General features: G+C 58.4%; 1 protein-coding gene across 12 annotated transcripts in view, besides 2 other annotated features; it reads left to right on the forward strand.

Moving 5' to 3' along the window:
• Positions 1-12,551, forward strand: part of DPEP1 (dipeptidase 1) — a 28,233-nt gene that overhangs the window by 12,715 nt on the left and 2,967 nt on the right. For 6 of the 12 annotated variants that reach the window (NM_001128141.3, NM_001389466.1, NM_001389467.1 and 3 more), the window contains exons 2-11: positions 4,283-4,492; positions 9,886-10,018; positions 10,242-10,374; positions 10,511-10,661; positions 10,844-10,913; positions 11,182-11,358; positions 11,446-11,530; positions 11,610-11,685; positions 11,814-11,949; positions 12,030-12,411. In NM_001128141.3, the coding sequence (NP_001121613.1) occupies positions 4,389-4,492; positions 9,886-10,018; positions 10,242-10,374; positions 10,511-10,661; positions 10,844-10,913; positions 11,182-11,358; positions 11,446-11,530; positions 11,610-11,685; positions 11,814-11,949; positions 12,030-12,200 (1,236 nt within the window). In that variant the 5' untranslated portion in view covers positions 4,283-4,388 and the 3' untranslated portion in view covers positions 12,201-12,411. Of the gene's footprint in view, positions 1-2,932; positions 2,948-4,247; positions 4,493-6,608; positions 6,633-9,885; positions 10,019-10,241; positions 10,375-10,510; positions 10,662-10,843; positions 10,914-11,181; positions 11,359-11,445; positions 11,531-11,609; positions 11,686-11,813; positions 11,950-12,029; positions 12,412-12,551 lie in introns of those variants that run through there. The other 6 variants (NM_001389470.1, XM_047433691.1, NM_001389471.1 and 3 more) reach the window with 4 other exon arrangements.
• Positions 2,392-2,561: an enhancer, noted in NCBI's record as "experimental_46531 CRE fragment used in MPRA reporter constructs". NCBI's record gives its function as "activates a minimal promoter by MPRAs in K562 erythroleukemia cells, with activity observed for both the introgressed and non-introgressed 16:89694907 variant alleles {active_cell/tissue: K562}" and the evidence as "EXISTENCE:reporter gene assay evidence [ECO:0000049][PMID:34662402]".
• Positions 6,040-6,894: an enhancer, noted in NCBI's record as "H3K4me1 hESC enhancer chr16:89698470-89699324 (GRCh37/hg19 assembly coordinates)". NCBI's record gives its function as "activates a minimal SCP1, AML or CMV promoter by ChIP-STARR-seq in primed H9 embryonic stem cells {active_cell/tissue: H9 hESC(primed)}" and the evidence as "EXISTENCE:reporter gene assay evidence [ECO:0000049][PMID:30033119]".

The raw sequence follows: 12,551 nt of genomic DNA on the forward strand, positions 1-12,551 counted from the left end.
TTCGGCCCCGGTCTGGTGCTCGGAAGACATGTGCCTCCCTCTACCTGCCCCCCGTCCTCCCGCCACTGTGAGGCCCTGAGAGGCCCTGAGATTCTTGCGATGTGTGAATAAGGGTGCCGCATTTTCATGTTGCACTGGGCACTGAATGGTGGAGCTGAGTGATGCGGTTTGGTTCTGTGTCCCCACCCAAATCTCATCTCAGATTATAATCCCCACCTGTCAAGGGAGAGACCCGCTGGAGGTGAGTGCATCGTGGGGCCATTCACCCCATGTTCTCGTGGTAGCGAGAAAGTTCTCACAAGATCTGTTTGTTGTTGTTTTTGTTGGTGGTGGTGGTTTTTAAGACGGAGTTTCACTCTTGTTGCCCAAGCTGGCTGGAGTGCAGTGGCACAATCTTGGCTCCCCGCAACCTCCACCTCCCGGGTTCAAGCAATTCTCCTGCCTCAGCCTCCCGAGTAGCTGGGATTACAGGTATGAGCCACCGCGCCTGGCTAATTTTGTATTATTAGTAGAGATGGGGTTTCTCCATGTTGGTCAGGCTGGTCTCGAACTCCGGACCTCAGGTGATCCACCCGCCTCGGCCTCCCAAAGTGCTTGGATCACGCGGTGGCGTGCGCCACCGCACCCAGCCTAAGATCTGGTTTTTAAAAGTGTTTGGCAGTCCCCCCCTCAAACTCTCTCCCCCGCTGCCATTTAAGACATGCCTTGCCTCCCTTTGCCTTCGGCCATGATTGTAATTTTCCTGAGGCCTCCCCAGCCATGTGGAACTGTGAGTCAATGAAGGCTTTTTTCCTTTAAAAATTACCCAGTCTTGGCCAGGCGCGGTGGCTCATGCCTGTAATCCCAACAGCTTGGGAGGCCGAGGCGGGTGGATCACTTGGGGTCAGGAGTTTGAGACCACCCTGGCCAACATGGTGAAACTGTCTGTAGTAAAAATAAAAAATTAGTCAGACGTGGGGCCAGGTATGGTGGCTCACACCTGTAATCCCAACACTTTGGGAGGCCGAGGCGGGCGGATCACGAGGTCAGGAGATCGAGACCATCCTGGCTAAAACGGTGAAAACTTGTCTCTACTAAAAAAAAAGAAAAAAAAGAAAAAAATTAGCCGGGCGTGGTGGCGGGCGCCTGTAGTCCCAGCTTCTCTGGAGACTGAGGCAGGAGAATGGCATGAACCCGGGAGGCAGAGCTTGCAGTGAGCTGAGGTTGCGCCACTGCACTCCAGCCTGGGCAATAGAGTGAGACTCCGTCTCAAAAAAAAAAAAAAAAAGTCAGATGTGGGATCAGGCATGGTGGCTCACACCTGTAATCCCAGCACTGTGGGAGGCCGAGGAGGGCACATTATTTTAGGTCAGGAGTTCAAGACCAGCCTGACCAACATGATGAAACCCTGTCTCTACTAAAAATACAAAAAAAATTAGCTGGGTGTGGTGTGCGCCTGTAATCCCAGCTACTCCGGAGGCCGAGGCATGAGAATCAGTTGAGGCAGAGGTTGCCGTGAGCCGAGATTGTGCCACCGCACTCCAGCCTGGGTGACCTACTGAGACTCTGTCTCAGAGAGAGAGAGAGGAAGGAGGGGAGGGGAGAAGAGGGAAAGGAAGGGCAGGGGAACCCAGTCTTGGATATTTCTTCTTTTTTTTTTTTTTTTTTTTTTTTTTTGAAACGGAGTCTTGCTCTGCCACCCAGGCTGGAGTACAGTGTTGCAATCTCGGCTCACTGCAACCTCCGCCTCCCTGGTTCAAGTGATTCTCCTCCAAAAGCCTCCAAGTAGCTGGGATTACGGGCAAGGGCCACCATGCCCAGTAAATTTTTGTATTTTTAGTAGAGAAGGGGTTTCACCATGTTGGTCAGGCTGGTCTCAAACTCCTAACCTCGTGATCCTCCTGCCTTGGCCTCCCAAAGGGTATTTTTGTTTGTTTTTGAGACGGAGTCTCGCTCTTTCGCCCAGGCGGGAGTGCAGTGGTGCAATCTCGGCTCACTGCAAGCTCTGCCTCCCGGGTTCATGCCATTCTCCTGCCTCAGCCTCCCAAGTAGCTGGGACTCCAGGCACCCGCCACCATGCCCGGCTAATTTTTTTTATTTTTGGTAGAGACGGGGTTTCACCATGTTAGCCAGGATGGTCTCGATCTCCTGACCTGGTGATCCACCCGCCTCGGCCTCCCACAGTGCTGGGATTACAGGCGTGAGCCACCACACCCGGCCACAAAAGGTATTTCTTTCTTTCTTTCTTTTCTTTCTTTTTTTTTTTTTTTTGTGAGATAGAGATTTACTCTTGTCGCCCAGGCTGGAGTGCAATGGCGCGATCACAGCTCATGGCATCCTCCACCTCCCGGATTCAAGCGATTCTCCTGCCTCAGCCTCCCGAGTAGCTGGGATTACAGGCATGCACCACCATGCCTGGCTAATTTTTGTATTTTTAGTAGAGACGGGGTTTCACCATGTTGCCCAGGCTGATCTCGAACTCCTGACCTCAGGTGATCCGCCCGCCTCAGCCTCCCACAGTGCTGGGATTACAGGTGTGAGCCACCTTGCCCAGCCCCCAAAGGGTATTTCTTTATAGCAGTGTGAAAATGGACAAATACAGTGGCCTCAAGTTCTCTCCTTAGTGGCACCTGAGGGAGTGTGGTGCTCTTGGAAATGCTCTCCTGTCACTCAGTTTCTGCCTCTGAAGCGACAAGCAGAACATGGATGTTCTCAGAGTCCAGGGCTGTGTAGATAGTATTGGAGCTGAAGGCAAAAGGAAAAATCAGAATATTGGGCCTGTCTTTATTTTAAAGGTTTGTGGGGGAGGGGGGGCGGTTTGTGTTTTGTTTGTTTGTTTTTCTGAGATGGAGTCTTGATCTGTTGCCCAGGCTGAAGTGCAGTGGCATGATCTTGGCTCACAGCAACCTCCGCCTCCCGGGTTCAAGTGATTCTCCTGCCTCAGCCTCCTGAGTAGCTGGGACTACAGGTGCGCACCACCATGCCCAGCTAATTTTTGTCTTTTTAATACAGAGAGGGTTTCACCATATTGGCCAGGCTTGTCTTGAACTCCTGACCTCAAGTGATCCATCCGCTTCGGCCTCCCAAAGTGCTGGGATTATAGGCGTGAATGACTGTGCCCAGCTATTTTAAAGTTTTATACTTTGTTCATTATGGATTTTTTTTACATGAATTCTGATTTTTTTAAAATATTGAATGAAAATACGATTTATCATGACCTGGGCATGGTGGCTCATGCCTGTAATCCCCGCAGTTTGAGAGGCCAAAGCAGGCAGGTTTGCTTGAGGCCAGGAGTTCGAGACCAGCCTGGGAAACATGGGGAAGACCCCATCTCTACAAAAAATACAAAAATTAGCCAGACGTGGTGGTGCACGCCTGTGGTCCCAGCTACTCAGGAGGCTCAGGCAGGAGGGTTGCTTGGGCCCAGGAGGTGCAGGTTGCAGTGAGCCGAGAGGGAGCCACTGTCCTCCAGCTGGGGCGATCCTCCTTCCCTGCCGGGCTCCCCCCACCCCCCCCCGAAGCCTCTGACCAGTTTTCCCTCCTGCTCCTCCCAGCAGGCCTGGTTTAGCCCCAGTGCTCAGCCCACTGTCCCCCAGAACCCCAGACACCACCCAGCCCTGGGATTAAGATTCTTCCGTCAGGGCACCACCTGGGAACTGTGTGCCCAGGAGCCCTCGGGCGACTTGAATGTGCTCTGCTGAGTCCTAGAGAGGCCCCGGTTCTAAGGACGTGTCTAGCTGCTTGGCCTGAAGCTCTGTAGCTGGAGTGTGGGTCCCTGTGACGCTGGAGGGCTGCAGGCCGGGGGTGCGGACCCCTCAGCAACAGGGCAGGCGCCAGGGGCACACCTGGCTGTGCAGCAGCTTCCTGGAACGCCCTAATGTTTATCCCCCATGGCAAGTCACGTAAGATGATTTTTACGTGGAAAGGGGTGCTTTATGAGAATGCACTATTTGAATGACTGTTGTCTTGCTTGCAGATCTAGGCCCCCGGGTCCTGAGGGAGGTGGTAGTAATAACAGTAGCACAGCTAGAGCCAACAGCCACTCACCACTCATCTGGGCCTGCTCTCAGCCTGCTGTCCTTTCATCTGGGCTCTAGCTCCACCCCTGGGTCTGGGATCCCAGCTTCTTACTATGCCTCCGCCTAGCCCAGACAGCAACGCCCAGTCATTGAGTGTCCGGCCTTCCATCCTACCCACCCTGGTGGGGAATGTGCTGGTTACTTATTGAACATGGGAAGCTATAAACAGGAGAGCAGCCACCTGTCATCACTTCCACCCACACCTCTGGTGCCTCTCCTGGCAGGCAGAGTGGCTCCTCACAGCCTGAAGCTCATCCTTCTGCACGGGCCAGCCAGGCCAGCACAGAGGCACCAGGGCAGCAGTGCACACAGGTCCCCGGGGACCCCACCATGTGGAGCGGATGGTGGCTGTGGCCCCTTGTGGCCGTCTGCACTGCAGACTTCTTTCGGGACGAGGCAGAGAGGATCATGAGGGACTCCCCTGTCATTGATGGGTGAGTGCTCACCTGAGCCAGGTGCTTAGGGAACCAGGACTGGGAACTGGGGCTGGGAGAGCGGGGCTGGGGGAGCCGGGGCTGGGGGAGCGGGGCTGGGGGAGCCAGGGCTGGGGGTGCCGGGGCTGGGGGTGCCGGGGCTGGGGGAGCCGGGGTTGGGGGTGCCGGGGCTGGGGGTGCCGGGGCTGGGGGAGCCGGGGCTGGGGGTGCCGGGGCTGGGGGTGCCGGGGCTGGGGGAGTTTGGCCTGGGGAGTTGGGGCTGGGGGAGCTGGGGGTGAGACTCGTGTGTGCTTGGCTTGGGGCTCAGTTTCTCTGGGGGTGAGACTCGTGTGCCCTTGGGTTGGGGCTCAGTTTCAGCTTCTGCGACGGTGCCGGGCCCTTGCCCTTTCCTGGCCCCTGCTGCTTTGTGGGGTCTCTCAGGGCCCCCAAAGACTTCAGCGGATGAAGGTCTGCAGGGACTGGGCAGGAAGGAGGCAAGGCCACACTCCCTGGTCCCGAAGCTCAGAGTGAGGTCTGAGCCTGCGGACGTGGAGGCCCTGCGCCCCAATCTCACCCTGTGCCTCAGCTTCTCCCAAAAGCAGCAGGTGCGGGTGGCACCCTACAGGCCCTCTCAGCCGGCATCTTTTTGGCTCTCTTCCCACTCCCCCCGGCCTGCCTTCTCCCGGGGGGAGGCCCATGCCACTTGGGCCCTTGCCTGTGCTGCGCTGTGTGCCCACCCGGCCCCCACCCCCGACCTCGCTGGGGCACCTGGGTCACCTGCTTCTGTCCTGACCTCCTCAGGGCGGAGATCCCCACTGCCCGGGAATCCGACCCTCTTCCCCGCCCCTTCCTGGCCCAGTGCCCCGACACTGGGTCACCATGGAGGCCTCCTGCTTCCAGGCACCAGACTCAGATCAGGGTCCACACTGGCTCCGCGTTGGGGTGGGAGGGTCACTGAGAGTCCGCCCTGTGTCTGGCATGGTGTCTCCACCTGGAAAATGCCTCTGGGCTTTGTTGGGGAAAAACTGTGAAAAAAGCAGGGAAACCCGATGTCTTGTCGCATAAGAACTTCAGGGAACAGTCCAGGCTGGGCAGTTCACGCCTGTAATCCCAGCACTTTGGGAGGCCGAGGCGGGCGGATCACCTGAGGTCAGGAGCTCAAGACCAGCCTGGCCAACATGGCGAAACCCTGTCTCTACTAAAAATACAAAAAATTAGCCAGGCATGGTGGCGCATGCCTGTAGTCCCAGATACTCAGGAGGCTGAGGCAGGAGAATCACTTGAACTCGGGAGGCGGAGGCTAGAGTGACCCAATATCGGGCCACTGTACTTCAGCCTGGGCAACAGAGTGAGACTCCATCTCAAATTAAAAAAACTTAAGAGAGCAGAGGCAGCTGCAGAAAGGGAGCAGAGGGTGGTCCCTGCATCCTCATGGTTTAAAATGGCCATGCCAGCTTCAGCCCTCACATCTGTATGCTGGCCAGCAGGGAGGAGGGAGACATAAAGAAGGGAAAAAGGACAAGCAGCAGGTGACTGTCAGGGTCAGGTTTTTGTTTTGTTTTGTTTTGAGACAGAGTCTCACTCTGTCACCTGTCACCCAGGCTGGAGTGCAGTGGCGTGATCTCAGCTCGCTGCAACCTCTGCCTCCTGGATTTAAGCAATTCTCCTGCCTCAGCCTCCTGAGTAGCTGGGATTACAGGCGCCCGCCACCAAGCCCGGCTAATTTTTTTGGTATTTTTAGTAGAGACAGGGTTTCACCATGTTGGCCAGGCTGGTCTCGAACTCCTGACCTCAGGTGATCCGCCCGCCTCGGCCTCCCACAGTGCTGGGATTCCAGGCGTGAGCCACCGCGCCCGGCCGGGGGTCACAGTTGTTAGAAGCTGTTACGGGACCCACCTTCATCCCTTGGCCACCGCCAGCGACACAGGGGCAGGAAGTATCTTCAACCCAAATGGCTGTGTGCCCGCTAAAAACGGGGGGTTTTAAAGTCACAAAGGAAAAGGAGGAGAATGGATCCCGGGGGCAGCCAGCAGTCTCCCCACGAACAGCTGCCTGAGTGTGTGCTTGCCGCTTTTCCAGCACTTTCCAGCACTCCTTGGAGCAGGACGCCGGCTTCCATATCCCAGCTAAGGGCATTGCCCCAGCTGCACAGATAAGGAGGGTGGGTCTGATTAGCAGAACTGCCATTTGCCCTGGCCATGAGGCAGGCAGGGCCTCCCTCCCACTGAGAAACCAGAGGCCCCACCTTCCCATCGTTTTCTCCAGCAAGAGTGGAGAGGGCTGGCGGGGCACAGTGGCTCACAGGTGTGGTCCCAGCACTTTGGGAGACCGAGGTGGGAGGACTGCTTGAACCCAGAAGGTTGGGGGCTGCAGTGAGCTGTGATTGCACCCCTGCCCTCCAGCCTGGGCAACAGAGTGAGACCCTGTCTCAAAAAGAAAAAAGAAAGGAGGGGCTGCAGGAGGAGGAGGGAGGGGAGAGCAGAGAGCTGCCCCATTGCAGCCTGTCCCTCCAAGGGCGGCTCCTGGGGTCCTAGGAATCCCTACCCATCCCAGGCTAATGTCTGAGATGGGCCGCCTGCGTCCTCAGGCCAAGGAGTAAAGTCTCCTGGGAGCCCTGCCCAGCCCCACCCAGGACAGTGCCCAGTGTAGGGTTGCACCTAGCGATGAGGCTGCTGCCCGGGCAGGGTCCCTGGCTGGAGCTCATGGTTCCCTCAGCAAGTGCGTCCTGACCACCCACTCTGCTCCGAGGGCTGGGGAGAGGCCCGTGCCAGCCCAGGCTGTCATGTGGACTCGCTGTGGCCAGGGACAACCTCGCTGACGCAGGAGCTTTGGGAGAGACTCACACCAGCATCAGGCGTGCGCCCGCCCATCTGCCCAGGGGTGGGGCCGGAAAGCGTGCCAGGCTGGGCTTGGGGGCACTAGCCCAGGGGAGGTCAGGAACGACTGGGACCCAGGAAGGGCAGAGCCCTCCCCTTCTTTCCCCTGAGGAGCTCCATGGGTGCATTCGCCTTGGAAAAGCTCATTGCGGGCACATAGATTTGAGCTGGGTCACAGAAAGCAGAGCCCGCAGCTGGAAATGATTAACAGTTACTCATCTGCCTCTCCCAGCTGCCCTCCAAGGAAAGCACCAAGACACCCTCATGTTACAGATGGGGAAACTGAGACACAGAGGGAGCTGTCCTCAAGGAGAGCACCAAAACACCCTCATGTTACAGATGGGGAAACTGAGACACAGAGGGAGCTGTCCTCCAAGGAAGGCACCAAGACACCCTCATGTTACAGATGGGGAAACTGAGGCACAGGGATGGGTCTGGAAACTGCAAGTGGAGGGGCCCCTGTGGCCTCATCCCAGCGCACACCCTCACAAGGCAGTCCCCCCGAGACAGGGGCACAGCCCACATTACAGGAAGGAGACTGAGGCCCCAGACCCAGTGACGGGGAAGGGGAACCCTGGGCATTCCCCAGGGTCGGGGGTCAGGCCTCAGCCCCTTCCCATCCTCCTCACAGCCTGGTTGAAACACAGATGAGATCGTAGCCTAGAGCCTGCCCTGGGCCCCTTAGAGCTGCATTTCTATTTTTCTTTTCTCTTCTCTTCTTCTTTTTTTTTTTTTTTTGGAGGGAGTCTCGCTCTGTCGCCCAGGCTGGAGTGCAGTGGTGCGATCTCGGCTCACTGCAAGCTCTGCCTCCTGGGTTCCTGCCATTGTCCTGCCTCAGCCTCTTGAGTAGCTGGGACTACAGGCACCCGCCACCACTCCCGGCTAATTTTTGTATTTTTAGTAGAGACGGGGTTTCACCATGTTAGCCAGGATGATCTCGATCTCCTGACCTTGTGATCTGCCCACCTCGGCCTCCCAAAGTGCTGGGATTACAGGCATGAGCCACCCTGCCTGGCCTGAGAATTGCATTCCTAACGACAGTGGATTCCCTTTGCTCCTGGTCTCTGCCAGGCCCTGTTGGGCAGCTGGATTCGGACCCTCTGGGATCCTCACTCAGCCACCAGCTCTGACAGCCCCAGCTCCCCCTTCCTCTGCGTTCCCCTTCCTTCTCCTTTCCCCTTCCTTCTCCTTTCCCTTCCTTCTCCTTTCCCCTTCCTTCTCCTTTCCCTTCCTTCTCCTTTCCCCTTCCTTCTCCTTTCCCTTCCTTCCCTTTCCCTTCCTTCCCTTTCCCCTTCCTTCCCTTTCCCCTTCCTTCTCCTTTCCCTTCCTTCCCTTTCCCTTCCTTCCCTTTCCCTTCCTTCTCCTTTCCCCTTCCTTCTCCTTTCCCTTCCTTCTCCTTTCCCTTCCTTCTCCTTTCCCTTCCTTCTCCTTTCCCCTTCCTTCCCTTTCCCCTTCCTTCTCCTTTCCCTTCCTTCTCCTTTCCCTTCCTTCTCCTTTCCCTTCCTTCCCTTTCCCTTCCTTCTCCTTTCCCTTCCTTCCCTTTCCCCTTCCTTCCCTTTCCCTTCCTTCTCCTTTCCCTTCCTTCTCCTTTCCCTTCCTTCTCCTTTCCCTTCCTTCTCCTTTCCCTTCCTTCTCCTTTCCCTTCCTTCTCCTTTCCCCTTCCTTCCCTTTCCCTTCCTTCTCCTTTCCCTTCCTTCTCCTTTCCCTTCCTTCTCCTTTCCCTTCCTTCTCCTTTCCCTTCCTTCTCCTTTCCCTTCCTTCTCCTTTCCCTTCCTTCTCCTTTCCCCTTCCTTCCCTTTCCCTTCCTTCTCCTTTCCCCTTCCTTCTCCTTTCCCCTTCCTTCTCCTTTCCCCTTCCTTCTCATTTTTCCTCACGAGAGCTCCTACCCTCACCACCACCAGCTCCTGGGAAAACCTTGGAGAACTTCAGTCCTTTGGAAGTTTAGAAGGATCTGATTGGAGTTTGGGTGCAGGGCTCTTCCCTGGGGACAGAGGCAGCAGAGAGGCCTGGGTAGCCCCCAAAGCCTGTACTCGACACCCTGCTCCCCAGGAGGATGGGGGTCCCAGGCCCCCCAAGGTCAGGCCGTTCCAATTACCCAGCCACCCACCATATTCCCCAAGAGGCAATTTGATCTTTAAACTGAAAACTCTCAGAAACAGTATCACCCCCAGGCCCTTGCCCCTCACGTCTCCAATCCTGTCCACTGAGGTCATTTGGCTCCTTGTGTCCCACCCTCAGACAATGTGTCTGCCCCCCAGCCTCCTCCACAGAAAAAGGCCCTGGAAGGGATGGGCTACCCAGCTCCCTGAGCTCCTGGCTCGGGGTTCCCTGCCCTGGGGGTGGGCACAGTTGGGAAATGCAGCCTGCACAGGTGTGTTCAGGTGGCCGGTGATATGTCACCCCCGCGGCCTAGACTTCAGTCCTGCGTCTGTCGTGAGGAGTAGGAAGTGGGGAGAGCAGCCCAGAGGCCAGGAGCTCGGAAGCCCCCAGGTCCCAGTGGCCGCCCTGACTGCCTGGCCTCTCCCCGGCAAACTCCAGGCACAATGACCTCCCCTGGCAGCTGCTGGATATGTTCAACAACCGGCTGCAGGACGAGAGGGCCAACCTGACCACCTTGGCCGGCACACACACCAACATCCCCAAGCTGAGGGCCGGCTTTGTGGGAGGCCAGGTACCGCCTGCCCTGCCTTGTGCTTGCCCTGTGTGGGGTCATCCCGTCTCCTACCTCAGGCCTGGCTACAGTGGGACCATCCCTGTGGTGTTCCTCCAGGGTCCCTCGGTGCCCAGGCCGAGGGAGGGCTTCCCAGCGGGTGGGAAACCAGACTCCCACAGGCATGCGGGGGGTGGGCTGAGACCTGGCTGCATCAGCTCCTGGCACCCCCTGCGGCCCACAGTTCTGGTCCGTGTACACGCCCTGCGACACCCAGAACAAAGACGCCGTGCGGAGGACGCTGGAGCAGATGGACGTGGTCCACCGCATGTGCCGGATGTACCCGGAGACCTTCCTGTATGTCACCAGCAGTGCAGGTGGGGTCCTGACCTGGGTCCTCCAGGTCCTGCGTCTTCTCACCCAGCCCTCATCCTGAGCAGCAGGTGCCGGTCAGGACACCTCACCCTCCAGATACCAGGTGCCCACTCCCCTGCACCCTGACTCTCCCCGCAGGCATTCGGCAGGCCTTCCGGGAAGGGAAGGTGGCCAGCCTGATCGGCGTGGAGGGCGGCCACTCCATTGACAGCAGTTTGGGCGTCCTGCGGGCACTCTATCAGCTGGGCATGCGGTACCTGACCCTCACCCACAGCTGCAACACGCCCTGGTGCGTGACTCCCCATGGGAGGCCCCCGGGCTGTGGTCAGGAGGGAGGGGGCAGACACTCCCTGCCACCCTCCAGAGCCCATCCCCTCTGCCTGTGAGTCCCAGGCCGGGCCTCGCCTGCTGGGCTGATGGGAGGCCGAGACCACCGCTCACCTCTTGGGCACCTGCCTTTTGCTTCTCCAGGGCTGACAACTGGCTGGTGGACACGGGAGACAGCGAGCCCCAGAGCCAAGGCTTGTCACCCTTTGGGCAGGTGAGTGGGGTGGGAGCGGCCAGTCACCCCCGAGGAGAAGGCAGAGGCCCTGGAGGGTGACCAGAACAATGCATCTCCTCACGTGGGACCTCAGTGTCCTTGTCTGTAAAATGGAGCTGGCAGCCATCCCCCCAGGGTGGGTGCTGAGCCCTGAGTGGCCCCGGACTTCCAGCCACGAAGGATGATGACTCACATCTGGTCCAGCCCGTCCACCTCCGCAGCCCCGACCCTGGGGGCTGTGAGGGTGGACGGAGCCCTGTCTTCCCAGCGTGTGGTGAAGGAGCTGAACCGTCTGGGGGTCCTCATCGACTTGGCTCACGTGTCTGTGGCCACCATGAAGGCCACCCTGCAGCTGTCCAGAGCCCCGGTCATCTTCAGCCACTCCTCGGCCTACAGCGTGTGCGCAAGCCGGCGCAACGTGCCTGACGACGTCCTGAGGCTGGTGGTGAGGGCCGAGGGGGCGACCTCCACCCCGCCTCCCTGGGCAGGCCCTCCCAGCTCTCAGCTTCACCCTGTCTTCCTTCTTGTGCAGAAACAGACAGACAGCCTGGTGATGGTGAACTTCTACAACAATTACATTTCCTGCACCAACAAGGCCAACCTGTCCCAAGTGGCCGGTAGGTGGGGTGTGAGCGGCCAAGGGGGCCGAAGGGGGAGGGCCTCACTCGGGACCCATACCTGCTGCTCCCTGGACAGACCATCTGGATCACATCAAGGAGGTGGCAGGAGCCAGAGCCGTGGGTTTTGGTGGGGACTTTGATGGTGTTCCAAGGTAAGGGGCTGAGAGCTCTGTCCTGTGGATGAGCCGGGAGGTTCATGGCCTCGTCAGAGGGATGAGGTGGCTGGAGGAGGGACCTGTGTCCTAGTGTGGGGGCCCAGGTTCTCCTGGCCTCAACACAGGGTCCCTGAGGGGCTGGAGGACGTCTCCAAGTATCCAGACCTGATCGCTGAGCTGCTCAGGAGGAACTGGACGGAGGCGGAGGTCAAGGGCGCACTGGCTGACAACCTGCTGAGGGTCTTCGAGGCTGTGGAACAGGTGAGGATGGGGTGGCCACCTGAGTCTCCCCCACCACCACCAGCAGGCAGGCTGCCCCACCCGTGTCTGTCTGTCCCCAGGCCAGCAACCTCACACAGGCTCCCGAGGAGGAGCCCATCCCGCTGGACCAGCTGGGTGGCTCCTGCAGGACCCATTACGGCTACTCCTCTGGGGCTTCCAGCCTCCATCGCCACTGGGGGCTCCTGCTGGCCTCCCTCGCTCCCCTGGTCCTCTGTCTGTCTCTCCTGTGAAACCTGGGAGACCAGAGTCCCCTTTAGGGTTCCCGGAGCTCCGGGAAGACCCGCCCATCCCAGGACTCCAGATGCCAGGAGCCCTGCTGCCCACATGCAAGGACCAGCATCTCCTGAGAGGACGCCTGGGCTTACCTGGGGGGCAGGATGCCTGGGGACAGTTCAGGACACACACACAGTAGGCCCGCAATAAAAGCAACACCCCTTCACATCCTGGGGTACGTGTCATCGGCATCCGGCTCAGGAGGTGGGGTGTTTTGTGAAAATGGCTCCTGGTTGGACGTGGGGCACTCCTGTGATCCTGGATCGAGTCTTCGGTCCAGGCCAGAAGGGCTCAGGAGGTGTGAAAAG

Source organism: Homo sapiens, chromosome 16 (assembly GCF_000001405.40).
Source record: "Homo sapiens chromosome 16, GRCh38.p14 Primary Assembly".
In the NCBI taxonomy this organism is placed as follows: Eukaryota; Metazoa; Chordata; class Mammalia; order Primates; family Hominidae; genus Homo; species Homo sapiens.